Genomic DNA, 17,001 nt, shown 5'->3' on the forward strand with positions numbered 1-17,001 from the left:
TCTGGTCACAATATTTTCATCAACAGATCAATATATAATCTTGCCCGTGTGTCTGCTTCTGTTTAATTTTAACATGTATTTCACATATATTGCTGGTCCATTAACAGTGAACTAAGAACGGCCAACAGGACTATAGCTCATGCCTGAATGAAACTTTTCCAATGCACATATTTCCTCTGTAAGGCACATTATATCTTTTTTTTTTTCAAGACATAGTCTCACTCTTGTCGCTCAGGCTGGAGTGCTATTGTGCAATCTCGGCTCACTGTAACCTATGCCTCCAGGTTTCAAGCAATTCTCCTGCCTCAGCCTCCCGAGTAGCTGGGATTACAGGCATGTGCCACCATGCCCAGTTAATTTTTGTATTTTTAGTAGAGACGGGGTTTCACCATGTTGGCCAGGCTGGTGTTGAACTCCTGACCTCGTGATGCATCCGCCTTGGTCTCCCAAAGTGCTGGGATTACAGGTGTGAGCCACCATGCCCAGCCCCATCACATCCTTCTTACATTTACTTGGGAAAACTAGACAGTACTTCAGCACTGGTGTTATACACAGCAAAATCGTCAACAAAAGCACAAAATGTAAGAAACACAGCACTGAATGCACCTTGAAAAGGACACTGGCTTGTGGTGTGACAGCTGAGACAAGGAGATAGAGAGTCACCTTGCTTGGCTTCCACTGGGAATGTGTGCAACTCAGCCAGGCAACTCCAATTTCTCACTGCTCTCTGCATGTCCATGAATAACCACAAAAGCACTGTGAGTAATTTGGGAACTACAAGTAAATTTTAGCACATAAGTGAGTTCACAAAGAAATCTGCAAATAGTGAGGATCGACTGTGTTTATCACTGTCGCTACCCGATACCTCTTTTTCCCACCTGGGAGCAGAGTGACCCACAGAGCCAGTCCTAACGCCCCATCCTGCCCACTGCAGCGATTCATCGGAGATGGGCACTTGCCCCTAACACAGTCAATCAGAAACCTCTTCCTCGATTTTTCTACTGGAACTAGGAGGGAGGATTCTTGAATCTGGAGGATGAACTGGAGAAGATGCCCCTCTGGGCTGCTGATGACCATGTTCCATGCCGTGCTGGCCACCTCTAGTAGGAAAGGTTGTAACTGAGGATGGGGGAGAGCGAGAGAAGGGACGAGGGACTGTCAGGCCTGGGCTTTCTGTATTTCTGCCCTCAATTCTCTGAGCTATGCCAGGATCTTCCCACAAATCCCCCTTTTCACTCAACTTAGTTTAGTTGCCTCTCTTAACTAAAAGAGTCCATACGAACACTGCGTATGAGACCGCTCATGAGCCGGTCCCCACCCATCTTACCTTCATTAGGTTCCCACTTCATGAGTGTCGCCCGGGGACACTGACAGTTCCTGGAGGCACTCCTCCCCTCCACAGTGGCTCAAGCTCTCCCCTCTGCCTGGAACTTTTTTCCTTCACTCTTCAGCTTAACCCATACCTGGCCCTTCTCTGACTCCCATGCCGGGCTATATGCCTCTCTCTTCAGAGCTGCCATTGCACCCGGACCAGGATCCTCTCTTATCTCAATTCATGACATCGAATGTATCCGTCTATAGACCCTGACTGCCTTGAGGGTGGAGCCAGCCTGAATATCACGTAGCAAGAGCCTGGTGGCGGAGTGGTCAATGGTTGGATTTGGGGATCTAAGTCTAAAGATGGTGGAAGTCTCCCATTCTTTGCTGAAGCGCAGAAAACCTGCGGGATTAGGCCTTTATTAAAATATTTCCCATCTGAATGATGCCTTGCAGTTCAGCAAGCCCTTTTACACGCATGATTTCTTTCTAGGCTCACGAGAGCCCCATGAGGCAATGATATCATTCTGTCCCTTTGAGGAAACTGAGTCTCACCAAAGTAAAGTGCTACCATCTCAGTCACATAACTAGGTGGTGACGGAGCAGGACACAAAATGCAGGCTTCCTGGCTTTGGGGTCAGAAAGTTCTAGATGGTAATGAAAAGCTGGGCCCTTCTTAGATTAACTGTTCCTGAAACTCCAGAAGCCTGTCAACCTCATCTGACACAGAGGAAGAATTTGGGTGGTAAATGCCATATATGAGAGAGGAGAGTGGCCTGTCCTATGTTATGAGGAACTCACACTATCTTGAAGGAGGGATCATCTCATTTTTTACTGGCTCCAGTCAATGGGTGCTTGATCAAAAACTAGATGGTAAATAATGTACCTAGCGTTTATGAAATGTCCTTCACATGTCTTAAATACTCTGAAGGCTCTGTCTCATTTAATACTCACCAGGTGACCAGCTCATTTCCCAGGAATGTCCCAGTTTTAAAACCAAAAGTCACATCTCAGGAACTCCTTCAGTCCTGGGCAAACCAAGACGATTGGTCACCAAACCTGGCAACAATGGCATGAGGCAGGTAGTATTGGAATTGTTCCCATTTTACAGGTGAAGCAACTGAGGATCAGAAGGGAAAGTGACTTCCAGAGGTCGCACAAGTAATTAGTGGCCAAGATACAAACCAATGTCCCTATGATTCTAGAGCTCTTAACGCACCTCAGCAAAGCCTCCAATTAATCAGTCATCCAGAATATATAAGCAAATTGAGGCCTCTTGCATGAAGAATGTTGGACCACAAACACAACGCAGCCGTGTCAAAGGTAGCCAGTGCATCCAACCACCATGTTCATTGGATCTATATTTCTCAACAGATCTTAACTACAGCTGTGTCTACACAGGGCTTCAGATCAGCTAGCGGAACAACAAGCTTGACAGATGTTTTTCCCCCACCGAATTGGCCAATGATTTGACTGTACTCAATGCCAAAACAACAGGCCAATTAATCCAATTCCACTGGCCAATACAGTGGAAAGAGAAAATAAACGAAGGCCAGTTGTCTGAGAGAGATGACCCAGTTGAGGACTGTGTCTGGCTGGTTATTTCACTACACTGGGCAGTAAACTTGATTGCATCAGGTCTCCTTGAGGCCTTTAGTAGACCAGCCTGAACTAGTAGAATTAACCAGTTCTGCTGGCAAGGTCTATATGTAGCCTCTATCTCCTCGACTTCAAAAGACTAGATCAAATTAATGATGAGAGTTGCACATTTTCCATGTTATGTAATCATTGTCCATGTTAAATGCTTGCTGGGAATCATGACTTTCAAAGGCCCTCTGAGCTGCATGTAAGAGTTATGTAAGAGGCACTTGCTCATGCGTTATGAGCAGACTGGGGCAAAAATGACATTTAAGATATTGCACAAGTTTTAAAATGAGCGGCTCTACGAATAAACAGAGATTTTTAAAAGAAAGGGGAAAAAAGAATTTATAAACCCAATAAAGATGTGACAGGGCCCAAGCAAGATGAAAAGAAGTTTAAAGCTGTGGTGAGCCACCTTCCGATGCCTTCCGAACACTCAAATCCAGGCTAATTCCTCTTGCAGAAGGAGGACGGGGTGTGTGCTCAGACATGACAACAGCCACTTACTGTCCTACTGCCCCACCCATCACCACCACTGAGTTGTTTGGATTCAATGTAGAAAGCAAGAGAATTCCACATCAAGGACTAACCCAGTTTCCATTCCTTCTCTGGCCTTTTAGGCAGACTCAGCCCAGATACCTAGCCCAGCTCACCCAGGAGGAGCTGAGAACCCCAAGGTGGGAAACAGACCCCTGCTCTGCTTTTCCACACATCCAGATCACACCAGCTAACCCATCAGAGCAGCCAAGAGTGGGAAACATTTATTATGTACTTACTGTATATCAGCCCTGTTTAAGCATCTTATCTACATTATCTCACTTAATTCTGAAAAAAAAAACCTCTGTGTTAGATGCTCTTATTAAGCCCAATTTAAAGTAGAGGCACGGAGAAGTAAATGACTCACCCAACCCTGGTCTTAACACTGGTGGAGTTGGGATTTGGAACCAGAATTCTGATTCTAGAACTGAGACTCCCCATGTTTCATTCCAAGTACCCATCCTCACCCTCCTAGACTCTCTAGTCATTGGTGCCATAATCTGCCTCCCATTAACTGTCTCAGGTTCTCCTTATTTAAGTATCCCGAGGTGGAACCCTCAACTATGATTGAGCTGAGGCTGAGTGTGCAAGGGTGGTCACCACGGGTGGATTTGTGGGGAGTTTTGGTTAGAGGAGAGAGGAGATATTTGCAAACAGCAAAAAACTAAGTCTCCTGATTTGCATCTGAGTCTTTTCAAGAGAGGAGCTAAAGACAGAAGTTAAAGAGAGCTGCATAGGGTCAAAAGGCTTCAACTAGCAAATAAAAGAAAACCCAATTCAAACTGGCTTGGACAGTCTAGTTATCTGTTCATATATGATTAAATTTTGTGGGGGGTGGGGAACTCAAAATGTCCTTGATCTAGTGTCTCAACAACGTCAAGAAGGACTTGGGGCCTTTCTGCCCTTCCATCCACTGTCCACAGTGTCACCTTCATCCTGAGACTGCTTATCTGTGTCTGTGAGATGCTTTCAGCAGCAGGTATGGCTACTGTCTGTCCTCAATGTGTTTGGTGTGAGAGAAGGAGAGCCTGGCTGCCTGGGGCCCTCTCAAGACAGCGAGAAAGCTGCTTTTCCCAGAAGGCCCCGTCATGCTCTGCTTGGAACTCATCCTGGCCCCTATACAGATGGGGCCCAGGAACACTGACTGAATTGCCCCTTGAAGGGTTGTAACCCTGGGAGCGACGAGGGTGCAGCATCCTCATCCAAACATCTCCATCGGCATTGACATTGGCATTGCACTGCCCTCAGGTAGTTTTTTGGGCAGCAGACATTATTAAGGGAACTGGAGAGTCATCTAAAAGGCTGGGTTCACATGAGACACCCCTAGAGATTCCCAGAAATAACCAGGCAGACCTCAGAGAGCCCAATGTCCTACATTTCCTACATTGTGTGAATTGTAGTAAAAGTCTGTGAAAGTTGATGCATTTGCACCATAAAACTGGGATTCCTGGGAAAAATCAAATTACGTTTGCTTTAATCACCCTTTTAGAGCCACCTGTATCTTTACCTGACCCTCAGCCCTCTCCCAGACATACCCATTACATGAGAGCAATGGGTAAGAGACCCCCTCAGCCTGCACCGCCTATTCCAGGTGATCACTGATCTCTGCTTCCCAGGCAGGGGAGAGGCTCAGACACCAATAATTCAATTTATTCAACACCTTCACAGCCCAAGCAGTGTAAAAGGATGTTGGCTTCAGTAATCAAGTTTCTAGTCTGGCTCCAATCATTCCAATAACCCCATTTCTTCTCCCTTCAGCTTAATAGTCCTTTGTCTGACTCTACCCAGATTGTGTTTACTAGGGAAATGTGAAGGGCAGAAAGTGATCACCCACACAACCAGTGAACAGGCAAAGAGAAATTTAACATCAGACACTGGTAGACCTGAGGCCACTTGTGAGACCAAGGAACAACTCATTCCTCACACTGGCCAATGGCTCACATCCTAGGCATGGCCCTTGACAAAGACTCTCTCTTTGACCAAACTTTATTTAGGCTCCTCTGAGCCCTCTTCTTGACCAGGCTTCAACTTTGGGCTTCTGGGTCCATCTCTGCACGTTTTTTGAGTCCAGTCTTAGCCAGAATCTTGCTAAGTCAGTTTAGAATGAATCCCCTCATCCCTTAATATCTGACCACCCATGATACCTGGTCAAGTTCCTTATCTCCACCTTTGATGTGAAGGTTCTTGGCCTGCCTTTAGCAAGAATCCTGTTAGGCAAGTTTGGTGAGAATCCTCCTACACTTGATCTCTCCTCTTCAGCATTTTTCATCCCTGATCCCTCACCCTGCTCCTTGCCTATAAATCCCCTCTCATCCTTGCTATATTCAGAGTTGAGTCAGATCTCTCTCCCCTATTGCAATAGTCTTGAATAGCCTTTCTCACCATTTTCACAAGTGTCAGAATAATATTCTTCTTTATCACCCTCAGCTAAAGGAAACTGCCTCATCGGCAGCTATTCCCCTCCCCACAGAAGCCCATATCACTTGACTGTTAGTGCTAGGACACCAAGGCCCAGCCTCCTTGCCTCAAATCAGGACATCTTTGAAAGGCATCTCAGCTTCAGAGTTCCCAGGGGGATCAGCTGAATCCCCTGCTGCAACTGCATCATGGTTCAACCTTCCATTGGCTCAGTCTTGCTTCTCTCTACACAGGCTCTGTTCCTGAGAACCCCAGTAAGCCAGCTGCTTGCAAATCTGTCTCAGGGTCTCTTTCCTGGGGAATCCAGCCTAAGATAGATGGGATGGAAGTAGACTCTAAAATGGGATTTTAGAGTTGGATTACCTGCTGTCCAGCTGGAAGGACCCTCCTCACCATGGCGAATGGAGGAAAGTTAGCCCCTGGCGTGAAGGTTGCAGTGTCATGGTTACAACCTTTACCAGTCATGTGAGAGGGGATGGCCGGGCAAGGGAGGCACTAGTGGGTCCACTGCCTTAGGCTTCTGAGAGGTTTTGGGAAGTAGCAACTATCAGCACAATGGAACAGGATAGTGGTTGCTGCACACCATTGATGCCTGGAAGAAGGCAATGAAAGGCTGGGCATGATAAGTAATCACCAATGGAAAGCATAGTGTGAAAACCAGAAGGTCTTTTTTGGCAGTACACAGAGACTCTCATTTTCTGCAGGAGAGCTCAGAAGAAGCTGTGGATTGGGCTCAGAACTTCACAGGGAGAGCAGAACTCCAGAAAAGGTGGAATTCTCTGTGCCAGCAAGGCTACTATGCCAAAGTCAGGGCCCCGATTGGGGAGGAGGATAACTTTGAGTCGAGATGGAGACATCTGGGTTGATACAGTTGAAAATCATGAATCCCCAGAATCCCCTGAAACCACTGGCCTGCAGAAGTGGCCCATTGCTCCCTGCTAAAGGCTAGAATTCTTCCCTTACTTGAAAATGATGCAGAGGTGCCTTGCCAGAAAGCACACTGTCTGAGAATATGCCCCCTTGCCCCTTCTGGCCACTACACCAATAACTAGGTTTAAGACAACATAACCCAATCAGGGAAGAGTTGCACCTGCTAAGGGTAGAAAGGCACTGTCCCCTGAAGGAGCTGTGAGACCTAGCCATGTGAACCAGCAGGAAAAGAGATCATATGCTGGATAAAGAGGCAGAATATGGTCACTGAAATGAAGGTTTATCCATACAGGCACACTGTCTTACCATACAGGACTTACACCCTAGAGAGGACCCCAGGTGCCAACACTAAAAACGTCCCTTGGTGGCTTTTGGAATGGCTAGCACTGAGTCAAACAGAAATGTCAGCGCTGTTATTATAGATGATTGAAAGAAGGAATCAGAGGACTCGGAGACGTGAGTGTGCTGGAGTAGATATGTTCTCCTACTGTGTCCTCCCACTCTGCTCTGCAAGTGAGTCCAGAGGATGCCCCATCTACTGATGCAATAAATAATGCACTGGGAGGGACAGCAACATAACTGAAGGTCAGGGTGGCTGTTCTCATGGCCAGTGCTCTTGGTAGGAGATGCTGTTACTGGAACAGGCTCCATGATAGCAACTGAATCACAGAATAACAGAGGCCAGGCAGCAGTGCTTAACCATCAGAGGCAAGGTCGGTGGTGGCATAGTGATGAGTGGTAGGATGGGGTGGAAGCAGGGAGCCCACCCCACGGAGCCCTACAGAAAGGGTGAAGAGAATGCAGTGCCCCTGGGGGCAAAGCAAAGGTATCTTCCCCAAAAGGGCATTTCTCACTGTATACAATTAAAGGAAATCAAGGATGATTGATTCAGGAGACTAAGAGAGGTTACCTCAATTAAATATCATGGTCCCTTGCTCAGATTTTAGACCTAGAAACTGCCAACTGCAGGAGTAGAGGGGTCCTCATGAGGAAAGGCCCTGGAACACCACAGTGAGTGTTTGCAGTCATGATGCCCTCAATCACTCCCCAAGGGCGTCTAGTGCCAGGTGAGATGTCAGGGAAAATACCCAGACATTTCAAGGACTGCTGGACACCAGATCTGAGTTGCCACATCAACATAGTCCCCAGTAAATCTGGCCCAGGTCTGGCTCACAGTGGATGCAACCAGTGGTCCTTTCGCTGGTTCTCAAATGCGTGAGTGTAATGAATGCTTGTTGTAGTTAGGAGAACCCCCACATTCGTTCCTTGGCAGATGGAGCCATTCTGGTGAAGGAAGCCAAAGTGGAAGCCTTCAAAATTGCCCTCATCCCCCAGCCATGACGTTAAATCCAAAACAAAATCACAGCCCAAGGAGAATGACAGTAATTAGTGCCATCCTTAAAGACCTAAAGGAGCAGCAGTGGTAGTCCCCGTAATATCCTCATTTAACTCACCCATCTGCTCCCTACAAAAACCAGACGGATTCTGGAGGATGACAGTAGACTGCACGAGCTCAACAATTACAGCAGCTGGTCCAGATGTGGCATCTTTGCAAGAGCAGACTAACACAGTTCAGGTGCATGGCATGCAACCCCAGCTGGGATCAATGGATTATTTTCTGTCCCTGTTAAGAAAGAGTACCAAGAGCAGTCTGCATTCCCATGGAGCAGTCCACAGTGTAAACTGACAGTCGTACTCTAGGGCTATATGAGTTGTCCCATTCTTTTTCATGATATAGTCCAAAGGGATCTAGACCCCATCTGCACATTCTGCAGAACATCACATGTAACAATAACAGCCATGGCAAATATCACCATCTCGATGACGTTGTATTAGTCAAACTAAATGAGCAAGAAGTGCCAAGTAGGCAAGAGGCTCTCACAAGACACATGGGCTCTAGAGGTTGGAAAATGAGCCTTAAAAATTCAGCCAGGTGTGGTGGCTCATGCCTATAATCCCAGTTACTCCGGAGGCTGAGGCAAGAGGATCATTTGAGCCTAGGAGTTCAAAGCTGCAGTGAGCTATGATCGCACTACTGCACTCCAGCCTGGGCAACAGAGTGAGACTCTGCCTCTTAAAAAAATAAAAATCAACAACCCCCTATATTGGTGACATTTTTAGTCCTAAGCACGGAAGAGTGGGCCTTACTATGTAAGGGGCCATCCCCTCCAAAATAAAAGACAAATTAAAGCATCTCCCACCTCCCACCACTCAAAAGGAAGCACAAAGCCTGGTGTGCCTTTTTGGGGTCTGGAGGCAGCAGATTCCACAGTTGGGGAAACTTCTCCGAAACAGTTTACTGAGCGACACAGAAGTCTCCAGGTGCGAATGGGACCCAGAGCAGGAAAGGGCTGGGCGGCAGGTCCGGGCTGTGAGCAAGCAGCCCTGCCACTTGGGCCATATGACTCCGCCGGGCCTCCGATATTAGAGTTTTCCATAAGAGAAAGAAGGCGCCATGAGGAGTTTACTGAAGGCCCCAGTAGAAGAATCACAGCATAGTTCCCTGGGCTTCCAGAACAAGACCGTGCTATCTGTGGTGGAGAGCTATGTACCTTTCAACAAACAGCTCCTGGCTTACTATTTGTCTGCTCATTACGAAGCACTTGGCCATGAAATATCAAGTGAACACGCAACCAGAACTGCCCGTCATGATCCATCAAGTCACGAAGTTGGACAGGCCCAGCTATAGCCTGTCGTAAGATGATGGGAGTGGCACATTCCAGATTGAGCAACAGCAGGTCCAGAATGCACAATTCAGCTCCACGCACAGGTGGCCCAGCCACCATCCCGCTCAGCAATGTCATACCCATACCTCTCCGTCAGTTTCATGGCGGGCCAGGAGTGGGGGAGGGGGGTGGTTCCCTTCATGGCAGAGAAGGCTCATGAACAGGTCAGCTCAATACGAAAGTTCACTTGCATGCTTGCCCTCCTCCTGGCCCCGGCCCACACCATCTGAATACATACCTGAACAGGGCATTTCTTCCAGGTGAGGTAATTTTATGTGATGAGGCAATTAAACTGAGTGGTTAAGAGATGACTTTTGGAGAGAACCAGTTTGAGATCCAAATCCTAACTCCAGCACCATCAGATTGTACGAGCTGATGTGAGTCTCTTCACCGGCATGGGACCCATGGCCTCACCTGTGCAATCTGGATAAGGCTCCTCAGCCCCCAGGTTTGCCCGAGGTCTCAGTGCATGAGCATATTCACGCAGGACCGGGCTCTAGGTGAGGGCATATTGAACAGACGCTCCATGCTGAAAGATGTATGTGTAGGTGGGTTACAGAGCCCCATCCCCTGTCTTCCAAGTTCCTGCCGAACAAAAGTTGAGTTGTCTACTCTCTTCCAAACTCCATCCAGGAAACACAGTGAACATTCAATAATAACCCAGCGTTTCCTCAAGAGGATTTATATATCCATCAGGAGAGCTTATGAAGTCAGGTTGGGGTTTTTTCCCCTGAACTGTGGCTATGTTTGGAAGCTGGTTTGTGGTGTGCACACATGCCATCCTCTCAGCCTGCCTGGCCTCTGAGGGCTCCACACCCTCTCCCTGAGTTCTGCTCGGTGGCCACTGAAACAACAAACATCCCTCCACTAGTACACAGGGAGCTAGAGACAGGCCAACTCTGACCAATTGCCACTGTTTCCAAGTTCACCCAGCAAGCTCGCTGGCCCTGGTTCATGTTCTTCTGAGTTTCAATGGGGGGCGAGACTGAAAATTGGCCTCTCAAAGCACCCTTGGCTGAACTAAGTTCATGAAAAGAAAAAAAATCCTGTGAGACAACAGCTCCAAAAAAAATTTCCCCAGGCTGCAGTGTGTCCCTCCATTGACCTTTTCCAAAGCGGAGTAACCATCTTTATAAAAAAAAAAAAAAAAGGTGTCCCAAAGCAAGGGCACAGCACGTGTAGTCATGGAATGTAATGGTCTTAGTGTCAAAAGGAGCTAAATTCAAATCCTAACTCTGCCTCCTTGTAGCCTTGAGCTATCCACAGCCTCAGTTTCCACTTCTGCAAAGGACAGAGTGGCTAGGAGGTGCCTGGCACCCAGCAGACGCTCCTGGAGTCCCTTTACCATCATTGGATCAACTTTCACAGAACCAGAGCTTGTCAGAGTTGGGAAGCACCAGAGAGAGCATTCTGTCCAAATTTCAGTTGAGGAGTCCATTCTTACAGCCCCTGAGGCTTCCGTCTTATGGCTGACCTCATCCAACATGGGTAGAGAGGTCTCAAGAAAGGAAATCAAGACAATATTTTATTGAAAAGAAAAATATTGAAAAGCATGTCCCCCACCCCAGTTTCTGAGATTTTGCTGTCATCATGGTTGCTAGGCTGGTCTGATATATGGACCAGAGCAGGGGAGAAGAATGGTGTAGGGGAGGGGCTGGTCCTCAGCAGGCATGCAGGGATCCATGACCTCCTCAACATGTCCCCTGAGCCCAGGGCAGGGGCATAACTCAGAGACTGCATCTGCAAGATGGCCTGAAAATGCTTCCAAAGAGAACATAGAGGAGGTAGAAGCTCTCTAAATCACTCAGGAACAGTGCATTCCTCAATCACACCAAATGACTGTGTTAACGTATTAACTCCTGTGACTGAGAAGTCCAGAGGAGGGATAGGCTTCAGCAAAACTTTGTTAGCAGCTCTGCAGAGTCTCCAAGAACTTCATTCCCTTCCATTTCTCCACTCTGCCTCCTGCATCTGCCTGCCCTCCCTCTTGGCCACAAGATGGCTGCCAGCAGCCATGAGGGCTTCCTAGTCCAGTGGAAAAGAGGGCAGCTCTGTGAAGATAGTTTCTGTGAAAGAACAACCGAAAAAGCTTCCTTTTCAGAACTTCCCAGCAAATGCTTCCCTGAGACACCTGCCAATCGCTGATGCCAGGGCATTGAGCTGTAAGCACAAGCTTAGGCCAACCAGGGCCACCTTCTGGAGCTGGGATTTGGGCCTGCTTCCCTTGGAAACACAAGGGCTACATGGGGGACAGCACCCACATGAAAACTGGGGTGCTGATACCAAGATAAAGGAGTAGCTGCTGGACCTACAGCAGCAAATGTGCATGACACCATCCAATGCTGCATCCTCCCTAATCATGTATCAGCTCTGATCCTTCCACAAGTGCCCACCGCTGTCTGTTCTCGTGCAGGTAGACAGGTAAATCTGACCAGTTTTGGTTAGTCCAGGGTAGATGCAGCTTCTTGACAACTAATGTTTTAGTGGGAGGGGCCAGGGGCTGCCCACTCCTTGAACTCATTGATTGCCAAACTTTGCTCTAAGGAGCACTTTTTTTCTGTGGAGCAGCCTCAGGGGAGCATTGTAATTGCAACAAAAAGCGGGTGCCTGGGGATAGAGGAGGCCAAACAGGTCAGGGTCTGGCCACCCTTTTCCACTTTAGGCTCACACACCTGCCCCTGGCCCCACCTTAAAACTGGTCTCTGATACCTACTCGTTTTTTGCAGCCTTGATGCTGGACTTTGACCCCGCCCCACCTCCTATGCAAATGTCAAATCCTTACAGCCTCTGCCTTCTAGAGCTGGTTCCTCAGTCCTCAGACCTGAAATTTGCTTCCTTCATGGCCCTGAGCTGACCCCTAGGTCTTCTACAACACCACGACACCTCTGCAAAAGACAATCAGCACTCCCCAGGCCAACCTGAAACTAGCCTGCCGTGGCAACTTTCTACCCATGAGAGATCACTTCACCTCTCCCAACCTCAGTTTTCTTCTTTATTAAATTGCAAGAACAACCCACAACTTAGACCAAGAATAATGCTGCCTACTGGGGCACTGGGTTGACTGTTACATTTGCAGAATCTCTCTTTTTATTATCAATAATAGCTGGAACTGCTTGACCTGTTCAACATTCACGTTAACAGTATCCAGGCTCCGTTTAAAAAATATAAAAAAGCTCTTTATAAAGGGAATTGGAGGCCCCTAAAGACAACACTGGCACTAAGTGGGCTATGAGTGGCCCCAGGCTGGCTCCCCAGAGCTCCATAACTTTCTAGAACCTCTATAAATAGGATGCTTTAAGCTAAGTCTCCACCCCAAAGTCTGCTTTGCAAGCAACATGCCTGCTTCTCGGAGTTGCTTTCTGCTGCTGCTGGCGATGGCAACCTTAAAAGTTGATTAAGATGAGCAGGTCTGGGTCTTGTCATTGCTCCTTCATTCCTTCTACCTTTGGAAGCTCAACTTCAAGGCTCACCCAAAGTCCTGAAGATGAGCGGAAAGCAGCATGGAGGAAATATATACATAATTCACTCACCCTTTCATTCATTCACAGCCACTCTGTACAACCTGCTCTGTACCTGAGTTTGAGGATGGGTAGAGTGGGAACTATTTGATGGTGTCACCACAAGGACCCAGGAATGCCTGGATCCTGCCTTTTACTGTCACCACCACCCTCCCCACACAGAGAACCTGAAGAGCAAGGGTGGAAGAGAAACCAGAGGAGCTGCTCCATGAACAGCTGCCCAGGTGAGCCTTCTACCCTGCAGAGCATCCTAGTGAGGGTTCAGGGCCAAAGTAAGGCCAACTCTCTATGCCAGATGTTCATCTTTAAATGATCATGCCAATGCAGGCTGAGAACAAAAGCAAGAGAGAGACAGAGAGAGAAAGAGAGAGGTGAGAGGAGAGAAAGAGAGAATACCCAAAGAGAGAACCAAGTACCAAGAGGGGCCCTGAATCCCCATGATCCACCCATACCTATGGAGAGGAAAAGAAAGACAAATAAGGATGTCCTCCCTGATCTTTTGAGCCAGGCCTTGCTTAGTCAGGAATGATGCGATAGGGTTGACCAAATGTATGAGACAGGGAGGAGCATCCTAGGTCTGTGGAATAGCATGTGCACAATATGTAGCATGTCCAGGGAACACGCATGGCTATAGCAGAAGTACCAAAAGAGAAGAAGAAAGAGGTGAGGCTTACCTTCAGAGGCAGGTAAGCTCTGCACCGTCCAGATTGCAGGGGACCTATTATACAACTCCTTGACCCTTGCCATGACCCTCAGAGTGCACTCTCTTCACCTTGACTTTGGGCACAACTGTGTGACTTGCTTTGACCTACGGACACTAGCAGACAGGAGGGGAACAAAAAGCTTGAAATGTGCTTCTAAGGTTAGAACTGACCTCTTCTACTCTTGCCTTTTGCCATGACAAGAACATCCTTTAGGCCATCACTGACCTAGAAAGGTTGAGAGACACATGGGGTAGGCCTGGGACTCAACACACACCCAGAGACCAGCCCAGGCGAGCCCAGCCAAGATCAGCCACATCCTCACCAACCACGCATGCATGAGCAAGAGCAATGAATGCTTATCAAGGTGGACATGCCACTGATGTTGTGTGGTTATTTGTCACACAGAAAATGCTGACTGAGTCAGCCTTGGGTGCTTGGGTAAGATATTTGGAATTTATCCTGGAAGTGGAAGAAAATCATTTAATAACTTTTTGCAGACAGTCCTCTCACAACCTTCCGAGCTAAAATATGGGGAATGAAATTCACCCTCTCTGCAGTCCCTGGCACGGTGTTGGACATGTGGAACAGACACACTAAATCCTTCCTGGTGAATTCAGGGAAACGTATGCCTTTGCTCAAGCTGTTCTGTCTCACTTAAAAGACCTTCCCCCACCACAGCCACCTAATAGACACATTTTTCTACTTCAAGCATCCTGCTTAGAACCTTGCCAGAAACTTCTGTAAGCTGGATCAAGAACTCCAGCAGATATTCCACAATAGACTTGGTTTCTCCTCTTCTAGACTCTGAGCTCCTTAAGGGACAATGTCTATTTTCTCTTGGGTCCCCAGCACCTAGGATAGTGCCTGACATACAGTAGGTGACCAGTCAGTCTGTTCAATGAATGAACAAGTGAACTCCCCCACAGCTTCTAGCACAAAGCTGGGCCAGTGGTCCTCATGCAGCAAATACTAAGTTGCTTGGCTGCCAATATTTGTCCTAATTAATTAATACCCTCTCCTGTTACTTCTTTCTTCTCCTATTTAGAATCTTAAACTCCCTCCCCCGAGCTACTCAGCCTCTGCTACAGTAACTTCTTTATTCCATTTTAATAATACCTAGACTATGGACAGAGTGACATAAAGGAAACCCGTGAGTCAAAACATCTATGGTAGGAAAAATACAGGTGACCTATAAAGTACTTCACCAACTTTCCTGAAGACTTCATGCTTGGACCTTATAAATCATGGGCGCCTGTCCCGCACAGGCTGGGCCAACACACTGCAGTGGGCTGCCCATCTTTAAGAGGCCTGGTGACACAATGGCTTGTTGATGCAGGGTATTTATACAGAATTTCCCACATCAATCTTGGTGTAAAAAGGGAGGTGATGTCATTCAGCGGTGAAACAAGTATCATCTGTAGAAAATCCCAAGCAGCCTCGGGGACACAGTCACACTTGTTTATTTATTTAAGGTTGCATGAATCGTAAGATGAACACTGAAGCTGTGCTACAAAGACCAGGAGCTTTCAAAACATCCAGACCCTCTGACCCAGAAAGTATTCCCCTTCTAGGAATCTGTCCTAATAAAGTCATCAGGGAGGTGTACAGAGAGATGCACAAAGATTTATGTTTATAGTTTGATTCCTGGAATGGTAACTAGAAAAGGAAAAAACATAAATAACTCTACTTAATACAGCTGGGAAGCGGTTAAGCAAACATGGAGGTGGTGTAACTAGGTGGTTACATCCACATCACGCAGTGTTTTACAGCTGTTAAAATTGATCATTTGTGTTCTTTCTCCTTTTTTTCCCTTCCTGATTGAGTCTAAAAGCCATCATGTGTGGCTGAGCAAGGTAGGAGTCTGCAGAAGGTGAAGATGGGAGTTCTAGAACCTGAGACAGGTAAGGAGCGTGTCTACACAGAGTGGTGGATGTGGCAAGGATAGCCTGGCCCAAGGTGTCTCACCAGGTAGGGTAAGAAGGGGACTCATGAAGGGAGGCAGTGTTGGTGACAGCCTAGCATGGGGATTCAGAGTCTGAGTGGGTGAGGAGAGTGTCTCCATGAGTAGTGGCAGCTGCAGTGGACCAGCACAAGGTGTTGGAGCCACACTGAGGGGAGGAGGGCATCCATATAGGAGGAAGAGAGATGCATCCCAGCACGTCAGGTCAGAGCACGAGTGGGTCAGGAGGTAATTCACACGACCGTAGAATAGGTAGCAGTGGCAGTAATAACAGATTGGTTACTTGCAGGAGCATTAAGCAAATTAGTAAATATGTTCTGGGTTTCTTACTGTCCAAGAAGTGTTACAAATACGAAAAGGCAGAAAACTAGGATGAACTTGTTGTATTGGCTTGAAGAAATCAGTGTGAATTCATGAAGACAGAGAAAAAGAGAGATGATTAGATGCATAGAGATTAGAATGTGCGTGTGTGCGTGTGTGCGTGTGCGTGTGTGCGTGTGTGCGTGTGCGTGTGTGTGCGTGTGTGTGTGTATACATGTATTCCCTAGCTCTGTCCACCAAGTGCATCTAGAAGCAACAACTCAATAGAATGAGCAGCTTAGCAAGTAGATCTTGGTTTCTAAATACCATCCTCCACTAAAATAAACCAAGAGTCAATGGAGAAATGGCTCCTGAAGAGGCAAATTGCTATAGGCCCAAGAACACCTGCACATTCTTGCTTGGTGTGCCAAGAATGGAAGACCTGATTACTCCTTCCCAGGCCCATATCACGATTGTGTTTGCAGTGAGCAACTTTGCAGAGCAAGTAATGTCTCCTTCCAGAATAAAGATTAGGCTTGCTTATTGTTTGCTATAAAAGTGGTGGATCTGGGCTGGGGGTGGTGGCTCACGCCTGTAATCCCAGCACTTTGGGAGGCCGAGGTGGGTGGATCATGAGGTCAGGAGATCGAGACCATCCTGGCTAACACAGTGAAACCCTGTCTGTCCTAAAAATACAAAAAAATTAGCCAGGCGTGGTGGCACGTGCCTGTAGTCCCAGCTACTCAGGAGGCTGAGGCAGGAGAATTGCTTGAACCTGGGAGGCAGATGTTGCAGTGAGCCAATATCACGCCACTGCACTCCAGCCTGGGTGACAAAGTGAGACTCCATCTCAAAAAAAAAAATTGTTGGATCGGACTGGGCGTGGTGGCTCATGCCTATAATCCCAGCACTTTGGGACACCGAGGCAGGCAAATCGCTTGAGCCCAGGA

At 47.5% G+C, this 17,001-nt stretch overlaps 1 long non-coding RNA gene across 4 annotated transcripts in view; it reads right to left on the minus strand.

Moving 5' to 3' along the window:
* Positions 1-17,001, minus strand: part of LOC105377725 (uncharacterized) — a 41,656-nt gene that overhangs the window by 17,075 nt on the left and 7,580 nt on the right. Inside the window, exon 1 of one of the 4 annotated variants that reach the window (XR_007059051.1) lies at positions 8,298-8,812. The exons of the other annotated variants lie outside the window; for them this stretch is intronic. This is a non-coding gene — a long non-coding RNA (uncharacterized LOC105377725). Of the gene's footprint in view, positions 1-8,297; positions 8,813-17,001 lie in introns of those variants that run through there. 4 annotated transcript variants of the gene reach the window in all.

This window comes from Homo sapiens, chromosome 5 (assembly GCF_000001405.40).
Source record: "Homo sapiens chromosome 5, GRCh38.p14 Primary Assembly".
NCBI lineage: Eukaryota > Metazoa > Chordata > Mammalia > Primates > Hominidae > Homo > Homo sapiens.